This window comes from Homo sapiens, chromosome 3 (assembly GCF_000001405.40).
Source record: "Homo sapiens chromosome 3, GRCh38.p14 Primary Assembly".
NCBI lineage: Eukaryota > Metazoa > Chordata > Mammalia > Primates > Hominidae > Homo > Homo sapiens.
In genome coordinates, this window is record NC_000003.12 from 141,262,164 (window position 1) to 141,283,756 (window position 21,593).

Here is a 21,593-nt window from a genome sequence, read left to right on the forward strand (position 1 = left end):
ACATATTTCCATGTACATGCATATGACAGCCTATTTCTAATAGTAAAAAGAATTTAAAATACTCGTTTTATCCTTCCAGAATTGGAAAAGAGGTCAAAAGAAGGTGGGCATCAGAAGTTTAAAAATATTCCAGATGGCAAATGAATTGTAAAATCTGAATCCTTTCCAAAAAGTGTGGTAAGATATTCAGTAGTTTAATTGTTTATAAATTTTCATTAAAAATTTTCCATCCTTTGGTTGGAGAGGTAGGATGTTACAGTCAACCCTGATTTTATTTTGAGAGGCTGACAGGTTCTGAGACATGAATGTGTGTTACTTGTGTTTGTGGCATTTCTCTTGCATGAGCTGGTTTCCACGTCACTGAATTGGCCTGTGTGTTTTGCTTATATAACTCTTCTGAAAGTACCTTCTGTTTTAGGAAAGCCAATTTTCAGCCATACTTTTTTAAGGAAAATTTTGCAGGGTAAATTAGCCTGTCTGGGTCTGAGCTCTTTATTCTTGGATACGTTGGAGATCGGAAAGATATTAAGATATGGACGTTCTTACTGCTCTTCTTTTAGGTAAACTGTAACTTTGGAATTTCCCCATTTCTGTAGAAGTGAGTTTAATTGCTCCATTTATTTAATTGCTTTATTGGTTGCTTATTATTATACTGTAAGAAACAGCACTAATTCATAACGCACAGGTTTCGCTTATATACCACTTATGTTCTCATTCTTATCCTAAAATATATGGACTTTTTTCTTTACCATTTCTTTTTACTTATTTTTGAATACCAAATTAGCATATATAATTACTTTAAGTAACATATTTGAGGCAACTAAGTATAACTCGGTTTTCTCATGCTTTAAGTAAAGAATATAGCTTTGTTATCTGAAATGATCGTATATCTTATTTGGTCTTATTGGTAGTTTTCTTTTCCTGATGTTTTGAATGTGAAGAAGAAATAGCCCAGGTTACGATTCAAAAATCAGATTGCTTAAATAAGTATGTCTTCCTCTGGATACAGAAAGTATGTAGTGAACCTACATATATTTATTAAGTGCTTATGTGTGTTTGACGTTTTTCTACACTGTGGAAGTGGAGGTAGTAAGGAAATACAGAAAAGATTAAGATACTGTTCACAGTTTCTCAAAATATGTTCATCTTAAATGGTGCTAATGACTTGCTATATGCTAATTGTCTTTAATAAAAATAAGTCTATGTTTTCAAGTCTTTAATGTTTTGTGTTTGGAAGGTGAAACATTCTGAAATTCCTGATGTTTGAATTGTAGAAGGGAACAGGCAAGGCATAGATATTTTTGGTTATTGTAGTTAAAATACATACAAGTGGAAAAATAACTTCAAATTAAAGGACTCCTTTAGTGCAGCAAGGAAAGACTGTCAGGATGTGAAGACTTAGGAATCATGAGTTATGTTTCCACTTTTTGTGCTCATTTGTAATCATTCACTTCCCTCCTTGGCCCTTGCATTTTCTTAATGCTGATTTTATGCTCATTTCTCCATGTTCTGACCACCATTCCCAAAATGGTGTTGTGACAGGAGCACGCAGGCTCTAGAATCATAATTTGAATGTCAGCTTCCCTGCTAAGTGGCTGTGTGTCCTATTCCTTCTTCTGTAAAATAGAGTTAATTATTGCTGTTTTGCAAGGTTGCTGTGAGAACGGAGATACGGGAAAACCCTTGGCTCATGGAAGCATAGCCAACATAAACCTTTTAAGCAAACCAGCGCAGAGTTCCGTCATAGTGCACCATCATCAGAAACCAGGGCTCCTGGTGTTCCAGAAGTTGCCAGAGTTTATGTTACTTCAGCCACTTGGTGGGGAAAGCTTTTGAAATAGATCACGCATGCATTTGTTTTTAATCAGAGTGCGTTGGCCATGATGGGGTTAATTTATACTGAGCACATGGCACCCATATCTGGGGTTTCCCTCTTGGTCAGGGCCCCGATTGGCCAGAGCAGAGTCGAAGGAAATGCTGAAGGTGAACTGGAGATTCAGATTCCCAGTGGGAAAAGAGGAAAAGAGGAGGGCTAACCTGCAAAAATGAGAGTGAGGGTTGCTGTCAATATCTGAAGGGCCCTTTCTGCAAGAGGAGGTGAACATGGAGACACATTTCAGTTAAGCATATGGTAGAACTTCCTAAAAGTCAGTGCCATGCAGAGGTGGAATGGATGGTGTGTTCTCCGTCACTGGAGTCTGCAAACTCTGGAGGGCTGCTCTTTGAAGAGTAAAGTATTGGACAGGTCATTGAGTCTGATCCCATTTAAAGTCTCTTTAAACTCTAGGTTTTATGAATTTTATCTTTTCTCATTGATCCAGTGCCATGAGTATGTGACACTTTGTTCTTTAGCAAATGTTCTTTAGTTTCCACTGTGTGTTAGGCCCCGGGCTGAGAGTTTAATCCCTCATGGGCCCCAGGGAGCTCTTTGTCCAGTGGAGAAGAATCACAAGCCGACACCCTGGAATACCAGGTGCTGTGTGCTGGGACAGGTAAGAGGCAGCAGCACAGTGGGGTCAGAAAGAACGTGGGCTCTGGAGTCAGACTGCCTGGATCAAATCCTTGTCCTGCCACTTACCAGCTATGTGACCTCAGGCAACTTCTTTACCCTCTCTGTGCCTTGGTTTCCCCATCTGTAAAATGGGGACAATGATAGTTCGTATTTCATAGGGTTGGCAAAGGATTCAGCAAACTAATATTTATAAAACACCCAGAACAGTACCTGGCACATAGTAATCACTACGTATGTGTTTGTTAAACAAATGAATTAGAGATCATTTATGGAAGAGTAGTATGAGAGACTAGAGTACAGGAACCCAATCCAGCTTGGAGTTGGGGAAGACCCCCTAAAAGAGGTGGCATCTGAGTTCATCCTTTAAAGAAAGCAGGAGTGGTCAAGGAGGCAGCTGAGTACAGGTGCTCCTGGCCAAATGTGCAAAGGCAGAGTGAGAGAGAGCAGGCCCAGGTGAGTCACCTGTAGGTAGTTGTGAAGTTGGAACAAAGTCTGGGACCTACCTCCTATCACTACACTATTCCTGAGGCTGTGAGGAGCCACTGAAGCGAGGAAGACACCATCAGATTTGTGTCTTGGAAAGACTACAGTCCAGCACAGTGTTTTCCAAAGCACCTTCATCAGAATAACCTGGGAAGCTTGTCAAAATGCATGTTCCAAAACCAAAAAAAAAAAAAAAGCACATTTTGTGCCCTTCCTTACAGAATCAGAATCTTGGTGGTAGTGGAACCCAGAAATCTGCATCTTTAACAAACTCCCTGGGTGAGTCTAATGCACACAAAATCTAAGAACTGCCAATCCAGAGGCTTGTGAAAGGGTGATGCTGGGAGGCACCTCAGAGGCTGTTTTGCTCATCTAGTAGCAAGCTGAGGGTGGCCCCAATGAAGGTATTGACCCTGAAAGGAAGAAGCAAAGCCAAGAGACGTCATGGTGGTTCTGTGGAACTCTAGCTAATTGGGTGGTGTCGTGGGGCTAGGATGATGGTATCGGGGGGACTCTACCATGGCACCCAGGAGTCTGGCTCGGGGAGTTCAGTAGACACTTCATTCATGCATGCATTCATTCACGTAAATGACTCATCTCCATCTGGGATAAGTCTGCCATAGGTGGAAGTAAATTCTCAGAACACAGACTGGGAAGTCAACCATGCAGGGCTGGTGGCTCCCTGGGTCTGAAGAAAGAGGCCACGGGAAAGTGCTCAGAGCAGGAAGGGAAGTGGGACAGGGCCTAAGCAGCAGGACAATCTGGGGCAGAGCAGGAAGGAGACCAGGCTGGGAGGAGTCACTGAAGGGCATGGACATCATTGGAGGTAGCCAGCGGGCCCAGTGGATGCAGTGTCCTGCCTAAGAGTGGACCTGAGGGTCTGAGGCCTATGAGAGACCCTGTCAGAAGCCACCATCTGGGGACTTTGTATTCCCTGCTGGTGAAGCCCTGGTTTCCGGAGGACCAGGGCTCCTTGGAGCAGTGGAAGCTGCTCCAGACCAACAGCCTGTGAACTTGTTTTGTTTGGCCCAACCCCTGTTTTTAGATTTTTTAATTTATTTACCAAAGTTTTAAAACTAGGCAATTTCATGTAAACTTCCAGCTCCTCTTTGAAAAACCAGACTCTGCAGCAACCTGAGGCCCACGGAGCATTACGGGGACCGCTGGCAGGAGCCGGGCAGCTGAGTCGGGGCTGCCACCCTGGGTGGGGAGAGTGCTGTCTTGGTCGCCACAGCGCCCACCTGCCTAGTCCCTGTCAGCTTCTGAATTTGTGCCCTGCGGTGCAGATGGAAGAGAGAGCCAAAAGAAAATCTGGGCAGATAGAGGACAAGGGGCCACGAAGGAGACAGAACAGCAGCAGCCAGGGGGTGGACTGTGGACAGGAGTGGTCTAGAAGCCAAGGGGGCAACCTGCTTAGAAGTTCTCAGGTGGGGAGCTGAGGAGGCCCCACTTAGCCAGCTCTGTGTGTGTGAGAGAGGGAGAGACAGAGGGAGAGAGGGAGAGAGAGAGATGGGGGGAGAGAGGGAGAGATGAGGGGGAGAGAGGGAGAGACGGCGGGGGGAGAGAGGGAAAGAGTGTGCATGTGTTTTCGATAGTTTCCCTGGGAACTCTTCTACCTGCAGAGCTATCGTGTTTCCTGTGGCCCTGATCCCCTATATCCCCTCCCTTTTTCTGTGCTGCTTTCAGTCTGATATCCGCTAAGAAAGAAAATAACAATGCTTGATAGAACAGTGTGTACATTAACATAGAACTGCCTCTGAGTAGGCAAGCAAGGAGCCCTGACAGGTGCCAGGGTGCTGTGACACCTTCCTCGGTGGTTCAGACCCTTGTGTCCTCAGTCCTGCTCACTCTTGTAGATGGCCATTAGCATTTGTGGTTTCGACTCTTTGCAGGGACCCCTGAGATCTGTAGTATATGGTGATAGTGATTCTGCCGAGGCACACGTCTTGATGAAAGTAGCAGGAAGTGAGCTGCTCAGCTGCTGAGGGAGCCACGTCCTGCCACACAGCCAGGGGAGGTGGTCGTCCTCTGTTCTTTGTCCTGTGTACGTTCAGTGGAGAAAAGTACAGAGTGGTATGTTTGAATGTGGGGATGCGTGAAGATCTCAGTATGCTTCATGGAAAAGATTTGGGGATGCAAGCCCTTAGAATGCACAGGGTCTAACGTACTGCGTCCTCTATTCTAAAAGCCCCAATGCGCTTCCTCCTGAGCTTTTATTTTGTTCAGCTGGAGACAAAAAGTATGAGAAATTGAAAGTGAAGGTTTACATTGTTAACCTAAGAGTTCTGTCATATCGCCATCTCTTCATTGTGACCAAAGTTTTAAATTCTGTATTTTTTGTTAATTTTGGTCCTTTTCTTAAAGATTTTACTTTCTGTTTGATTTCTGGGAGTTTTAATTTGCTTTTCCTCAGAATGCTTTATGTCCAGTTGCCACATAGAGTTAAATATCTGCAGGTGAAAAAAAAAAAAACACCATAGATGAGTGACAAAATTAAATCTGACAAATAAGCTGTTGTCACAATTTCTTAAGCTCATGTTGTAGATGCATTGGAGTGGGAAGGTGAGAGTGTCATGTAGCAGGTTCTTCTGCAAGCTGAGAATGGACACATTTATGTCTGTGGGTCATTCCTAGTTTTCTTTCAGGGTGGAGCTAGATAATGACCTCCCTCCCTCCCTCTCTGTCTCCCTCCCTCCCTCTGTCCCTCTCTGTCTCTCTCCCTCTCTCCCTCTCTCCCACCTTCCCTTTCTCTCTTCTTCCCTTTTTTCTTCTTAGTTCCTTATCTTAAAGAAGTTCTCATCAATAATTAGATGAGGGGATAGAGATATCTGTTTAAAGATGTTTACTGCAGCATCATTTGTAATAGGAAACAAAGGAGAAGGCAACCAACGTGTACAACAGTAAATACCCCATTACCTCATGATCACATAGACCTGTCTCTATTGACTTGGAAGGTTGTGCATAATATATTAAATTTTAAAATGGTACCTTTATATGCGGGTGGGTGGGGGAGAGAGAGAGAGAGAGAGAGAGAGAGAGAGAGAGAGAGTGTGTGTGTGTGTGTGTGTGTGTGTGTGTGTGTGTCTTGAGTCAGCAAGAGCAAATACTATCACGGCTAGTTAGTAAAAATAGAAAGCATTAGTAGAAGTATTCAGTGAATTCAGGAAAGTGCCTGGAGATCTCTAAGATCCACTGAAGAGATGAACAGAATAGAAAGCCACAGGATTTATGTGGCTGTACCCACTGCAGGGAGAGCGCGAGGCCAGCTGGAGTCTGGCAGGCAGAGTGTGCGCCTGCTGAGCCAAGCCACGCAGTGCAGACCCCGCTCACTCCCTGTTGTCTTGGCAACAGGGCTTTGGCCCCATGCTGATGACATTAAAAGGAGGAAGCCCACCTTGAAATGAAGTGAGTGCTGATCAGAGGCAGAGCCCTGTTATGTACCAGCAGCCCCACCTCACAAGAGAGAAGGAAGAGGCTGATCTAAAAGAGGAGACAAGGGCAGAATCTGAATCCTGTACACGAGGGTGAAGTAGGGCGGGCACCTGGGAGGGAGCTCTGGGACTGCCTCACCATCCTGCCCTCACTACCATCCTGCCCTCCTGCCAGTGCGGCTGTCACACACACTACAGATGTTACCCTGTGCCTCAGAGCCGTAGCTCAGGGGTGGGCTCAGGTGGGAAAGAATGGGGAGGTGGCTGGGATGCATGGCCCCTCTCTAGGATTTATCTGGCTGGAGCTTCAGCATCACATCTTGCCTCTCTTTGCCTTTCTCTTTTCCCTGTGTCATCCGAGGGGCTGGACTCCACTGGCCAGGGGTCTGCCCGTCCACACCACCCCTAGGTATCTACCAGAGGGTGGGGCAGCTCTTGTGGGATGTCCACATGCCTGAGAGTGCAGGCCCCACCCTGGGCCACATTCTCTCTTTCCTTGAGGTGGCCTCCCCAAAGCCCCTCGCCTGTCTGGCTATGTCTTTTGAGCCTTTACACAGAAGGCAGACAACCCACCCACCCTCAAGGACAGGTTGCTGGTTTGGTGGCCTCAGTGGGTTGCAGACCTTTGAGACACAGGAAACTTATTTGCTCCTCTTGGGGAGAGAGAACAATGTCCTTGGGCCTGAGTGACCATCCGTCACCATTCCCACCGGAGCAGGGACAGAAGCACATGTTTAGCCTCTGGCAGGGCACATATATACTCAAATACTAAAATATTCCTTATGGGGTTCTCTGGGTGGTAGGATTTATGGGTGATTTTCCTTTTCTTTTTATACTTTAGTGTTGAATGACTATTTTATGATGAACTCATGTTTTTTATGACCCCTTTTTATTTTGAAAAAAGAAAATCTGTTCATCTCTTCTTGAGTGTTGAAATTGAAAACCTGTTTCCAGGTACTTTGGGTTCTTAGCCTGAACCTGTGGACTTCTGCATTGTCCCATGGGGTTTCAGGGGTCTTGTAAACCCCCAGAAGTCCAATTCACAAGACTGTGTTCGCATCGTCTTTCAGAGATGAGGATCAATCGTTTTCATCAGGTTCTCAAAGATGAGGGTCATAACCTTCATGACCCAAAAAGGTTAAGGAGACAGGTTCTTTTCATGGTTCTTTTTGGAGGCCTGTCCTGGAAATCTCTTATTTCTAGTTTCTGTCTTGAGTGTGTGGTGATTTGGAGTCTGGTGTTGGCATCATCTAATCCAATGGCCCTGTTAGGGTAAGGCCAGTTACCAGCAGCTCCCAGAAGAGTGTGGGGTTTCCTGACTCCTCTGAGAGGCTGCAACTGGGGCTCAAGCCCAGGCCACAGGGGGAGCCCCCATGCCCAAGCAATGGGTGGACTTAGGTCCCAGAGGCAAATGTCAGAGGAAAGGGTCAAGGAGGGAGGAGATAGAGCGTGCAAATAGCCCAGGGAGCAGAGCTCCAGGCTGATAGGATGTGCCCAGCCCTGAACTCTGCTGGAGTTCTCCGGCTCCCTGAATGCTACCAGGCGTATCAGAAGCACTTAATAAATTCTTACCTAATGTGGTTCACCATGAAGCAACATTAAGAATGAGGAAAACAAGAAAGGTTGGTGTATTGCAGCTCAAAGTGGATAGATCAAAATGGCAAGAGCAGATTCAACTGTTTGATCAATCTCATTTATGTAAAACCAAGTGTCTCAAAGTCTACAAATGTGGGCTTGACTTTTCCCATTTCACCTGTATAACATGATTCCCACTCCAGCCTTTAAAAGCAGACGATGAGAGGCAGATAACAACTGTGGACTCTTCGTTGTGGTTCTGGTTTTCATTTGACAGTTACAGTGCACTTTTAAAATTCAGTACAGGTTAGAGACAGGGCGGGCATTTAAGATAATTTAGTGGGTTGAGGAGCACTAAGGGAATTGTGGGAACTGACAGAGCGCGTCATTATTCCTTGGCAGACCAGTGAAGGAGAGAGAATTCAAGAACCTTTTGGTTTATTTGCGGGGAGAAATTGGAGAAATTAGGTGGCAGGACTGGGGGTGTTTTAGCTTATGAGGAGACGCTATCTCAGATAAGCTGAATGTATTTAAGGGAGCCAGAAAAGCTGCTAAAATTGGAGTGGCCAAGAGGAGAAGGGAGATTGGCTGGTTGTGCTTTTGTGAAGGGGTGGACGCAGGGGTTTGATATCCCTTCCAGATCCCAAGTTGAAGGGAGCGCCTTTTAAGAGCCTGCAGGAAACAGGAATAATCACATCCAGGGGATGGATGTAGAAAATAGCATTCATTCATTCATTCATTTATAAGATGGAGTCTCACTCTGTCACCCAGGCTGGAATGCAGTAGTGTGATCAGGGCTCACTGCAGCCCCGAACTCCTGAGCTCAAGCGATCCTCCTGCCTCAGTCCCCTGAGTAGCTGGAACTCTAGGCATGTGCCACCATATCCTGCTCACTTTTTAAACATTGAAAATAGTATTTCTTGATTCCTTACCAGAATCCATTCACAGGTGGTATCTCAACATCATCATTACCACCCTGATCTGTAGGTATCATCACCTTCATTTGACAGATGAAGGAAATGAGGCACAGAGAGGCAGGGATACTTGCCCCAGGTCACACAGCTAGGAGGTAACAGAGCCAGGACATGAATTCACATCTTTGTAATACTATAGCTCATTTGCAGCCCCCAGCCCCAGGCTACCTCCCTGCATTCAGAACCATGGTAGCAGGGGCAACTGAGGACAGATGTCAGTGGAGTTCCAAGGAAAAAGTGACTGTAGTCCCCTAAGGAAGTGACTAGCCCAGTGTTGAAGTCCCAAAAAGGGCAAGGCAGACCCTGGAGCTAGGAAGGTAAACAGATAGTGGAGCTGGACCTTGGCCCCAAGAGGTTCTTTGCTGGTGTAGTCAGTGGGGTGACTTGTGTGGCAGCTGATCCCAGAGCAATGGAGACAGAGCTGAGCCAACACTTTAGCCTCATCATGCTCACATTTCCCGGGAAACTCTGGGTCCCTGATACCCAACTGTAATCTGCCAGGTATCTGTGTAATCAGAAGAAGGCTGACAGCCAAATCACACAAGCATGGGGATGGCAGGAGGGAGGGGTTTGGAAGCCATCTGACTCCCACTGCAGAAGTGTCTTCCACATGGGACAGCCTGTCTTTCCTGGAAAGGTCCCTTTATTAGCACAGCTGCCTAGAGTCAGGTCCTCATCCCTGGGCTAGTTAGCAAGGCGGAGACATGGTCCTGGAGGAGCAGCATGACAGCCCCCACCGGGCCATGGGGTTGGCATGAGAAGAGGAGCTGCTCCCAAAGGAGGATGGGTCTGTCGCCACAGAAGGAAGTGGGGAGAGATGAGCTGACCCAGGGTTGGGGCCCTTCATTGTGCTCCATTAAAGTCAGTTTCAAGGCACCTGCAAGGAGCTTGCATACAGCAGTTTCCTAAGGCAAGAAGAAGGCCACATATGCAGGTAGATTTCTGTCCTTGGCCCTATCCCAGGGCCTTGGTATAGGGAGGTGACCTGGATATCAGGGAGGTTGGCTTGACACCCTAGGGGAAAGAAACTGGTGTGTCCTTGTGCAAGTCAGAGTAACTCCCAGATAATGAGGTGGCAGCAGATACTCGGTTATAACTTTATCTGCTGCCCCTATGGTTGTTGAGTTTCAGGGATAACTAAGGTGCCCTGAGGTTCAAAGGCTAGACAGGGGTTTGTGGCCTAGCAACCTGTGCTGTTATGATCTGACTCTGACCCTGGCCTTTTCCCTCCTTATTTTCTATTCCATGGGGACCATCAATGGAATAAACAAAAAATCAAAATGAGCAAATCATCATTAGATGAAACATGTCTCTCTAAACAAGTTTCTAGTGTTCGCTACTAACCCAAGTCTAGTTGATTAAGTCGTGTTTTGCTTAAAGCTGTTATTGACCACTCCTGGGCTCTCTAGAGGGACAGAACTAATGGAATATATACGTATATATATATTTATAAAGGGGAGTTTATTAAGTATTAACTCACATGATCACAAGGTCCCACAATAGGCTGTCGGCAGGCTGGGGAGCAAGGAAAGCCAGTCCAAGTTCCAAAACTGAGGAACTTGGATCCGATGTTCAAGGGCAGGGCGCATCCAGCATGGGAGAAAGATGTAGGTTGGGAGGCTAGGCCAGCCTGTCTATTCATATTTTTTCTGCCTGCTTATATTCCAGCTGCATTGGCAGCTTATTAGATTGTGCCCACCCAGATTGAGGGTGGGTCTGCCTTTCCCAGCCCACTGACTCAAATGTAAATCTCCTTTGGCAGCACACTCATAGACACACCAAGGAGCAATACTTTGTGTTCTTCAACCCAATCAAGTGGACACCCAGTATTAACCATCACATCTGGTAACTTCCCAATATTTCCTTTATATCCATGTCTTCACTGCATCGTTTCCATACCTGCACCCCCCAACCAGCAACCAGTGAGTGCAGGGGGCCCCGTGCCTGAGAAGGCTATTTTCTCCTTATGGTCCATGTGCTTTCTCCCCACCTTTTCTTATTTAATGTCTGACTGTCCCCCGCAACTGGATTGTAAACCCCGTGAGGGCAGAGACCTTGTCCATTTTATTCTCTGAAGAATCCCCAGCATGTGCTCCATACATGTTGGATGGCCAGATGGACAAATGCATAAATACCGAGCTTAGTGGGTGAGCAGGTCCGGGCTTACAGGCTTCAGGACCTTAGGTAACTCCCTTGACCTGCCTCTGCCTAAGGTCTACTGTCTGGCTGATGGTTACTCTTCCTAGGTTGAGATCCAAAGCTGGGAAAAGCAGAGAGAGGATCAGTTTGGCTTGCATCCTAGCTATAGCTATGGGAATGTTTACTAGTAATACATACAGAGTCATCCACTGTGCATTCGGGAGATGGGGTGGGGAAGGGTGGTGGGGAGGGAGCCTGCGTGGGATAGCATCTGGTTGTTTTACTCATGATTCTAAGAAATTTGTTGGTTGCTTTTGAGAGGGAGGGTCCCAAGGAGATGCTTTAGAGGTCATGTTCTCTGCCATTTCTTTGAAATTGAGACCTTGTCGGCATCTTTACACATGAGGGTTATAGATGTGTGGACAGGATGAAAGTGATCGTAGATGAGATGAGCAGAGAACACCGCCATAAAAGAGAGGCTTATTTCCAAAGGTAGCTTACGGAAATTTGCCCTCCTACTTGGTAATCACACCACAGAGAAATTGCATGCCCGTTGGTACAGAGTTAATCATCAGTAAAAGATATCTCGTATCCTGTTATTCGTGTTGGTCCTGGTGGCACAGTGGCCCCAGGACACTCATTTAGATTCATGGGTTTTCCCACCTACATAATGAAACTCGTTATCCTTCCATCTATTTATCTGCCCACTATTCTTTCTGATGCCCCCACAGCCTCTTTCTCTTGCCCTGTGACATCTGAGCTGCTGTCATCTGCCTGAGGTCAGCAGAGTTTCTAATTGTTCCACAGGACAGCTAGAGGCACGGGGGGCCTGGGCAAAGCCTGCTGGGAGGAGCAGTGTCCTGGAGCAGTGTCTGCCCCCAGCCCCTGGGTCTGTCCCTCAGCTCCCTTTATCTAGGTGATCGGGGCAAGCCTCAAGAGCTGATGTGGTGAGTAGCACAGCACCAGGGCAGAGGCGGCCTGCAGCCCGGGGTCTGCTCCTCCAGGCCCCTTCCCAGCCTTCCTCCTGGAGCCCGGCCTGCACATCGACCCTGGTGAGGCCAACCTGACCAGGCCTTACGGGACCCAAGGCGTATCCTGAGCCAGCTTGCTGACCCCCATCTGCCATGTTTGGCTGTGTTTCACGGCCTCCCCTCTGCTCCTCTCCTCTTCCCCTCCACACAGCCAGCTTCATCAGTTTTTCAGGCCCAGCTAGGTGTCTCCTCTGGGAAGCCTGTTTGGATGCCCCTCACCCCAGACTGGTTCGGCAACCCTCAGTGCTCCACATGAGGAGTCAATGAGATATTTCATCAAAAGCATGGAGCACAGCGTCTGCCCCAGTTCAGCAGGTATTTTTGGAAGACCTATCCTCTGTCAGTCAGCGGGGGATATAAATGTGAAAGACGCACACTCCCAGCCCTCTGGATGTTTGGGATGGCAGGGTGACAAACTGGGACACCCCTGCTTGCATATACTATGCTGTGAGCCATGACGGCAGCAGGAACTGGGTAGGCTCATAGAAGAGGATGTGGGAACTGGGGATTCAGGGCGGGCTTCCTGGAGGAGGTGACCCTAGGATCAGTTACAGTGTTGGTCAGATTTCGGGAGCAGAGGGTGAGAGTAGAGTTGCCAGCAAACGGTGGAGCATAGGCGAGAAACATCCTGTGGGGTGGGATGGCTCAGAGCAGCTCAGAACAGTGAGAACCAAGTTGGGATTGGGGTCAAGATGGAGCTGGGGAGACTTCTCCTCACAGCTTCTATGTGTCAGGACCTGTTTTGAATGCCTGGTATTGGGAAGGCCCCTTGTGAACTGATGCTATGTCCTGGTGACTCAGGGAGGTACAAATAGTACAGGGTGATCTCACACTCTGAACTAGTAGACACAGTTGACAGGCCCAGATACCAGAGGAAGCAGCAGATAAAATCTTTCTGGAGAGAAGGTCTCATTCTGATCTTTATCTGTGGTTTTCAAACCACTGCTTCCTTGGGTCATGGGTGGGTCATTTGCACCCAACCACCATGGTTCCCAAATGGCAGCCACAACAGGCCTCACCCCGGGTGCTTATAGATGAACTAGCAAACTGTGGGCACTCTAGGACACCCACTGTCCTCACCTGTGCCCCTCCATTTCTGTGTCACTCATATTATCCTGTCTCCTTAGCTGCTTCTGTCCCTGGCCCAGACTCCAAGGGAGTGTGCCCACAGGCATGGCCAAGGGGCCAGGACTTGGTAGATTTCACAAAAGAGCAGAATCAAGGACTGAGCCAGCCAGAAGGGCCAGGTCACTAAGAGACTGCCTTAGCACTTTTCTATATTTCCGTGCTCTTGTGCTAATCCCCCTGTAGTGAATTCCCTCTGAACACCTGGGCTGTGTTAGCCATCCTAGCACCTTCCAACTACTGGAAAGAAAGTGGCCCTAGGAGCAACCAAAGGGCTAATGTTGGGTGGGTGAATCACCAGTTCTGTATCTCTGTGATTGTTGTTTTGGTAACACAAGTAATGAAGGGAAATACGTTCACTGTAAAAAAAAAAAAAATGCTTACCTAGACAGCATAGAAATACAGAAATATATATTTCTATACATATAGAATACATTAATATGTGCTTACTATAAATACATATGCAGTCATGTACCACATAATGACTTCCATCAACGACAGAACACATATATGACAGTGGTGCCATATTATAATACCATATTTTTACTGTATTCTTTCTAAGTCGAGATATGTTTAGATACACAAGTACTTACCATTGTGTTACAACTGCTTACAACATTCAGTGCGGTAACATGCAGTTCAGGTTTGTAGCCTAGGAGCGGCAGGCTGACCAAATAGCCTAGGTGTGTAGAAAGCTCTACCATCTAGGTTTGTGTAAGTGCACTCTATGATGTTTACACTATGACAAAATTGCCTAAGGGCCATCTCTCAGTGCCTCCCCATTGTTACGCAACTCATGACTGTACGTATATGTGTGTGCGAATATACAAACAAGTAAAAATACTTTTTCACACCCCATTCCATCCTTTCCCAGAGGAAAACCACTGCTGTGTTATGATGGATAACCTTCTAGACATTTTTTCTATGCATTTACGTAATAAACAAATCCCTGTATATTTATGCATTTATGGTTTGTTTTTTTTCTTTACACAAAGAGGATTATATCAGTATACAGTGACTTGGTGTATTCACTTCACTTAATTTATCTTTGATTCTTTTCCCTTCTTTTTAACTGGGATAGAACATTCCACAGTAGGGACATAACGTTCTGTTCTGCTAGAGATGGATATTTAGGTTATTTCCCTTTTTTGTTATTACAAACAGCACTGCAGGGAATCTCTTTGGCCACACATTTTTGTGCGTGGGCATCGCTATCTTTATAGATACAGAATGGATTCCAAGACGTAGAATAACGAGATCGGGGGTAGTGCACATATACCATTTTGATGGCTACTGCCAAACACTCCCGAGAGGTGCCGGTTTCCACCCTCCCCATGATGTTTGGAAGCGTCAGGTTTCTCACACCCTTCCCAATATTGAGTGTTATCATTAAAACATGATTTTCCAGTTTGATGAGGAAAAATTATTAATATAGTCCACTGTTTGATTTATATTTCTTTAATTATGAATAAACAATTATGAAAAACAGTATCACACTGTTGTTTTATCTGTATCTAATTATGAACAAACTTAAGCATCTCTTCATGTGTTTATTGGCCATTGGTATTTATTTTTCTGCGATTAGCCTGTTCATATCCTTTAATGATTTTTCAGGTGTAGGGTCTCTTATGGACTTTGGATATTAATCATTTGTCTGTTAGGTTAGTTGCAAATATTTTTCTCTCAGTGTGTTGCCTTTTATCTTTGTTTATGGCATCTGTTTGCCAAAGGGAAGTTTTAAATATTTATGTAGAAGAATTTGTAGAAGTAATTAGGGAATTTACATTGATTTAGGCTGGTGGTTGGTCCCTGTTTTAGCTATTGTTCGTGCGCATGTGTAGATATTATGGTGATTAATAAATCTTTTAGAAGTTAAAAAGATCTGTGAGCACACTTATTTTCATGTGTTTCCCTCAAAGGGCGGATGCTGAAAGTATGACTATACTGTGTTGGGAGTTCTAGAGGATCTATGATGCTACAAAGACATTCCCTAGGCACGGAGAGATTAGGGACCACTGAGACAGAAGCTGTTCATGAGGGATAGATGGCTGGGCAGCCCCACATTTCCATTCTTACAGATTAGCATCCGAAAGAAAAAGAGCACCTCTTCTAGAGTCTGTATATCACCTGTCTCGAGGAAAGGGAGTCCAGTTGCCCCATTACTACCCTTATTGACTCTGGTCACATGTCCACCCCTGCCAGGGGGTGGGGACACTGTGATTGACAGTCCAGCCTGACCACACGTGGTGGTGAAGGGTCAGCTCACTAATGGAATGAGGGTAGTAGATGGACAAGCACACAGATTGCAAGACCCACACATGCCACGCCGAAGACAGTGGCAGGGAAGCTGGCCTGAAGTCAAGGAGTAAGCGTGAGACAGGCTTTCACCCACCACACATGCCTTGGTCCTTGGCTTTCTTCTGTAAAGTGCTCTCATGGGTTAGATGAGCGACTCTGAAGGCCCACAAAGCATAAAGCAGATGATGATAAATGGGATATGTCAGACACCCACATCTGGCACCTAGCAGGTCTTCAATGAGGAATGATGGTTTTCCTCCTTCTTGTTGTTACTGGAATTAAAGGGCATTAGGAAGAGGTAATCAGGTCCTAAGAAGTTAGTGTGTGAGTTCTTCCTCCAACTGCCCTGAGAGAGGCCCCTTTGCTTGGGAGGCTCCCCTGGTGTTGAATAGATGATAAGGAGAGGGTAGTGGCAGTGACGAAGGGGCAGGACACAGTGGGGCTCAGAAGCCCTTCTTGAATGGGAAGCTGACTTCTGCTCCACTGAAGTGCACCTTGATTCTCAGTGTAAGAATAGCTCCTCAAAGTGAAATCCAGCCCTGCGCTGGGCCTTGCAGCTGGCCTGGCGCCCCAGGAACTGTGCGTCACAACCTGCCTTACTTCGTTTCAGTCCACCTGATCCCGGTGTCGACTCCTAAGAATGGAATGAGTAGCAAGAGTCGAAAGAGAATCATGCCCGACCCTGTGACGGAGCCCCCTGTGACAGACCCCGTTTATGAAGCTCTTTTGTACTGCAACATCCCCAGCGTGGCCGAGCGCAGCATGGAAGGTAGGCCTGACTGTGCCACCAGGACAGATACCCCTTTGGGGACTAGTTATTCCAGCAGCATTGCACAGCAGTAAGGAGCAAGATGGCCAGGACCCAAGTCCTGCAGTTGCCACCAGGCTGTGCCCTTGAATGAGTTCCTGGGTCCTTGCATTCTCCTCTATAAAATGGGAGTAACTCACAGGACTTATGCCTGGGACTGGGGAGGTTTCAGTAACTGCTCTGAACATACCACGTGGCTCACGATCAACCCACCACAAATGTTTGCCATCATCATGATCTTTAGTGAGACAGCAGCAAGGTAGAAAGGTGGCCTTGGCAGGCACTAGTGCAGCACATTGAGACACTCTGCTTTTCAGGGTAGCCTCTTGGGACTCAGGATGTCCACAGGATGTCCTGCTGGCGTCTTGCCATAGAAGTGAGGCAATTTCTACAAGTTTTGCTTTTGTAAAAGTGTATCAGAGCATAGTGTTGAATCCTTATTGATCTCTTTATGCCTTCTCTGGTCTCATGAAAGATTTAAAGCAGAAATCATTGTTTCTAGTATTTCCGTGGCTCTCTCCCTGGTCTGTGCATGTGAGTGAGGCCACATTAGTAGTCATGCCCGCATTTCACCAGCCTCCCGTTGTTTCCAGGAGGTCTGGGACATAATCAGCCTACTCATGTTCCTCTGTCCCGCCTTGTAAGACTATTCAGTGGCCCCCATCCAGAATGGCAGCCAGGGCCCCTTCACTGTGGTGGCTCTGCAAACCCACGGTGGCCCCTGCTGCCTCCGGCTCAGATTCCCAGCCCAAATGTGGCCAGGTCATCCCCTTGGCCCCCTTCTAAAAGGATTGACACCTATTGAGTGATAACCAGACAATGTGCTTCTCTCGCGCAGGTCATGCCCCGCATCATTTTAAGCTGGTCTCAGTGCATGTGTTCATTCGCCACGGAGACAGGTACCCACTGTATGTCATTCCCAAAACAAAGCGACCAGAAATTGACTGCACTCTGGTGGCTAACAGGTAAATTGCACTTTTTCTAAAAGTCATTTTCAAGTGTCTGTTATATCCTGTAGGATAGAGAATGACAGGACCTACACTTGGTGAACCATACTGTTTGCAGGAGCCTGAGCTCAGAGCAGTCCTACATGTGAGTGCCATTATACAGTTGAAAAGATGGAGGCCCACAGAGGCGGGGACACCTGTTTGAAGCAACACAGCAGATATACTGAGCCCAGGCCAGTCTGAGGCTCACCCTCCCACCCTGATGTTTTTCACTTTAATAAACAGTTGGGACACAGTACAGTGAGCACTGAGTTAAGAGTCCTCCGCCCCAGCTCACCTGCTCCATTCAGAGCAGCGGGCAAGCCCCTTAGTGTCCTCTGAGCCTCAGCCTCCTACCTCTGAAACGGGGATCACAAGGCTCCCCATGCAAAGTTGGGGCAAAGAGTAAGTGAGATGACACAGACAAATGCACGTTAGCAATTGCAGAGCCATATAAATGTAAGAATTATTTCACCCTTCTAATTTTTCACTGGAGTAGAGGCAGCCTGTTCTTGGTTGAAAGCCCTTAGGATGAAAAATAATTGAACAGAGTGTGGAAATTGTATGGAAATGGCATGGCTCTAAAATTAGAGGCATAGTTAGCAATAAAATATTGGGCTAGACCTCAGCAAATGTGTCTGGAGGCACATAACATTCTAGCAGAGTTTAGTGAATGAGGTCAGGAGATGAAGTGCTCAGTGGGGAAGACGTTATTTTGATGGAATGCTTCTGGGATGCCAGCCTGCCCCGGGAGGGCGAGCCTGGTGGAGCCATGGATTACCTCACTACAGCCAGGGCTGTTCTTTAAAAGTGACACTTTGTAGCTCGTCTTGCAGGGCCCCTGTCACAGTGATGCCAGGACCCTCTAATGGGGCCATTTTTGGCGCTCCCATTTGAGAGGTTCAGTTCCTAGGGACCAGTTGGCCTGGCTGCCTCTGCCCTCATTTTCCTTTGCCTAGTTTTATTTTATTGAACATTCTGTATTTTTAGAAGCCACTTTAAATCCTTTGTGTGAAGAGGGTGGAGTATGCATAGTTACTTAATGTCATTTAATTAATTTAATCTTTAAAAACAGTAATAGTTGACTCATCATTATAAACAGGTACTTAAGAGTAAGAGTGAGCAGGAACCCCGGTGAAGGGGACCCTCTCTAGGCTGCTGACTCCCCCAGGACTGTGGGATCTGGGTCACGAGCAATACCTGCTGTCTTCCCAGGTGCTACTTCAGCTTTAAAAATTACTAATGTTGTGATCTCCTAAAAGGTGGTGTGCCCTGGAGCATGCCCATTATTCTAGTCTAGTGAAACGGAATACTGTGGCCAGCAGGCAGGGTGCAGTGAGCTGAACCAAGCACTAGCTGGCGGTCCACAAGTTTGTTGCCCCAGGGTTTCCATCCACGATGCCACACCCTGTGACTCTCAAAGCCTTTGTAGTAGAAGCTGCCTCTTTGTGAATGCCATGTGCTTTATAAGGAAGGTGCTATTTTAACCCTCATAGTATTACATTTAGCCAGCATTAAGGTTATTAGTTATTTATATGCCATATTTAGTAAATGCTTTTTTGCATTCATAAATATGAATTAAATATGCTTTTCTACATCCAAGGAGGAGAAAACATCCACTTTGATCAGCATTTATTGCACAAATTTTAGTTTTATGCTTCTATCATGTGCCAGGTACCAGAAGGCAGTACACAAGCAGGCACCTACATGAAGTGAAGGGGCCAGCCCTGTGATGGTCCGGGGACAGAGCGTTCCCTATGGAGTAAGCAGCAAGTGCAGGGGGCCCGAGGCTGAAAGAACTGGGCAGGTGTGAGCCACAATAAGACCAGGGTATGGCTGGGCTGGAGCAGTGATGGAGGGAGTAGGCTTCTGAGGAGTCGAAGAAGAAAGGCCGCTTGTTGGGGCTGCCTCTGCCCTCAGGGAGCTCAGCACATTTACAGAGACAGGCCCGGTGCCCAGGACACGGCAGCCCTCAGTGAATAGCTGGCACAGGTGGCAGCAGTGGTGGCAGCATTAGAGAAAGAAGAGGAAGAAATGGAAGAAGAGCAAGAAGTAGAAATGGAAGTAGTTTGGGTGCCATATTTGGGGGCATGAGCCAGAAGAGGGGCAGCCTGACCCCACCTGGGGCAGGGAGGGGACATGGGGTGGCAGATCAGGGAAGGCCACACAGAGAAAGGGACCAGAAAGGTGTGCAGGAGCAAGTCAGGCAGAAGCTGGTGCTGAATGGCCCCTTGGGTGGTGAGACCAACCCATGCAGTGTGAGGTGGTGGACAGCTTGGCACATTGGGGCCCTCAAAGTTAGTTTCACAGGCTTGAGCAGAAAGTTAGTTTCACAGGCTCAAGCGTGGAGTGGAAAACTGGGTAGGAACTAGGTTATCTGAGGCTTCGATACCCAGCAAGGGAGTATGTCCAGGCATGAAGGCAGTGAGAGAGCCGGGCAGTGAAAGGGATGAAAAGATGAAGGTCTCTGACAGCCATAGTGTGGAAGATGGATTGGAAGCTGGTGGCAGCTAGTGGTGTTATTATTAGGGTAGTGATCCAGAGGAGAGACTTCACTCAGAATCAGAATCCACATCCTTAAAGTGCCCCACAAGGCCTGAGTGCCCTTCCTCCACCCCTAACCCGCCTGACCTTGCCCTCCACTCTCCTCGTGCTCACTCACTGCGCTTCAGCCACAATGCTCCTAGCTCTTCCTTCCACATTCAGGCACTGTATGCTGCCTCAGGGCCTTTGCACAAACTGGTTTCTGTCTCTAGAAGGCTCTTCCCACAGAAAGCTTTATGGCCAGTCCTCTTACCTCCTTTAAGTCTTTGCTCAAATGTCACCTTCTCAATAAAACCTACTCAGAACACTCCAGTTAAAATGACAAGGTGCTCCTCCTTCCACCCTGGTCTCCCACAGCCCCCTTAGCCTGCTCTTCTCTTTGCCACAGCATCTGTTACTTTCTAACCCAGACAAACACACACACACACACACACACACACACACAGAGTGTTCATTGTGTATTGTCTGCTTCCCCAGGCTAGAATATAACCTCCCTAAGGGCAGAGATTTTTATTTGTTTTTGTTCACTGCTGCTGCATTCCAAGTGCTTAGGACAGTGACTGACATATGAGTGGTGGGGTGTGATTAAATGTTTGTTGAATGAATAAATGATGGCAGCTGAAACTCAGAAGTGGCAGCAGAGATGGAGAGAGTGAGTGGGTCTTAGAGAAGGTTACAAGGTGGGATCAATAGGACTTGGTGGCAGGTTGGACAGGGGTATGAAAGGCAGGCCCGATGGGGCCCAGGTTTCTGACTGGGTGTCTGGCTGGTGGTGGTACCCCTCCCTGGAATTAGAGAACACAGAAGGGAGGTATGGGGGGAAGTTAGTACAGGCATTGGTGCTACATTTGAGCTATCATGAAACATTCAAGAGACAGTTTCTAGTCAGTAATAGGCTGTATAATTTTTTTTTTTTGAGACAGAGTCTCGCTCTGTCACTAGGCTGGAGTGCAATGGCATGAACTTGGCTCGTTGCAACCTCTGCCTCCCAGGTTCAAGCGATTCTCCTGCCTCAGCCTCCCGAGTAGCTGGGACTACAGGCACGCGCCACCATGCCCAGCTAATTTTTGTATTTTTTTTTTTTTTTATTTTTTAGTAGAGATGGGGTTTCACCATGTTGGCCAGGATGGTCTTGATCTCTTGACCTCATGATCAGCCCACCTCAGCCTCCCAAAGTGCTGGGATTACAGGTGTGAGCCACCCTGCCTGGCCTAGTCTGTATAATTTTGCAGCTCAGGGGCACTGGCTTGCTGGGAAAAAGAGGTTTAGTTGAGAATCTTCAGCATGTTGATGGCATTTGAAGCTGTGGGCTTATATTACAGACAGAACCTGAGGAGTGAGGGATGGGCCAAAACCAGAGTCCTGGGAAGCACCAGCATGTGGTACTCAGAGAGAAAAAGGATTTCAAAAGGGGCCAGGGATGTTGCAAATGGGGAAAAGTCAGGAGAGCAATGTTATGAGAGCTAAGGAAAGCAGGGCAATGCATTACATCAAGTAAGACCAAAAGGTCCAGAAAGCTAAAAACAAAGAAAAGTACACTGGGCTTATCTTTTCATAATCTCATGTTATTAATATGTAAGATGATAAATTCTTTAATTGGCATGAACTTTAAAAATCTAATGTGATTCCAGTTTCCAGCTATGTATGCTCTTTTGGATTGTGTTTTCTGGTAACAGTGTCACTGGTC

At 46.9% G+C, this 21,593-nt stretch overlaps 1 protein-coding gene across 28 annotated transcripts in view, besides 1 other annotated feature; it reads left to right on the forward strand.

The window, feature by feature from the left end:
* The window catches only part of PXYLP1 (2-phosphoxylose phosphatase 1), a 63,100-nt gene that overhangs the window by 30,339 nt on the left and 11,168 nt on the right, over positions 1-21,593 (forward strand). For 24 of the 28 annotated variants that reach the window (XM_047449228.1, XM_047449230.1, XM_047449223.1 and 21 more), the window contains 2 exons: positions 16,179-16,337; positions 17,215-17,341. In XM_047449228.1, the coding sequence (XP_047305184.1) occupies positions 16,179-16,337; positions 17,215-17,341 (286 nt within the window). Of the gene's footprint in view, positions 1-79; positions 178-494; positions 561-10,737; positions 10,821-12,296; positions 12,461-16,178; positions 16,338-17,214; positions 17,342-21,593 lie in introns of those variants that run through there. The other 4 variants (NM_001282728.2, XM_047449231.1, XM_024453830.2 and 1 more) reach the window with 3 other exon arrangements.
* Positions 11,663-11,832: an enhancer, noted in NCBI's record as "experimental_64847 CRE fragment used in MPRA reporter constructs". NCBI's record gives its function as "activates a minimal promoter by MPRAs in K562 erythroleukemia cells, with activity observed for both the introgressed and non-introgressed 3:140992753 variant alleles {active_cell/tissue: K562}" and the evidence as "EXISTENCE:reporter gene assay evidence [ECO:0000049][PMID:34662402]".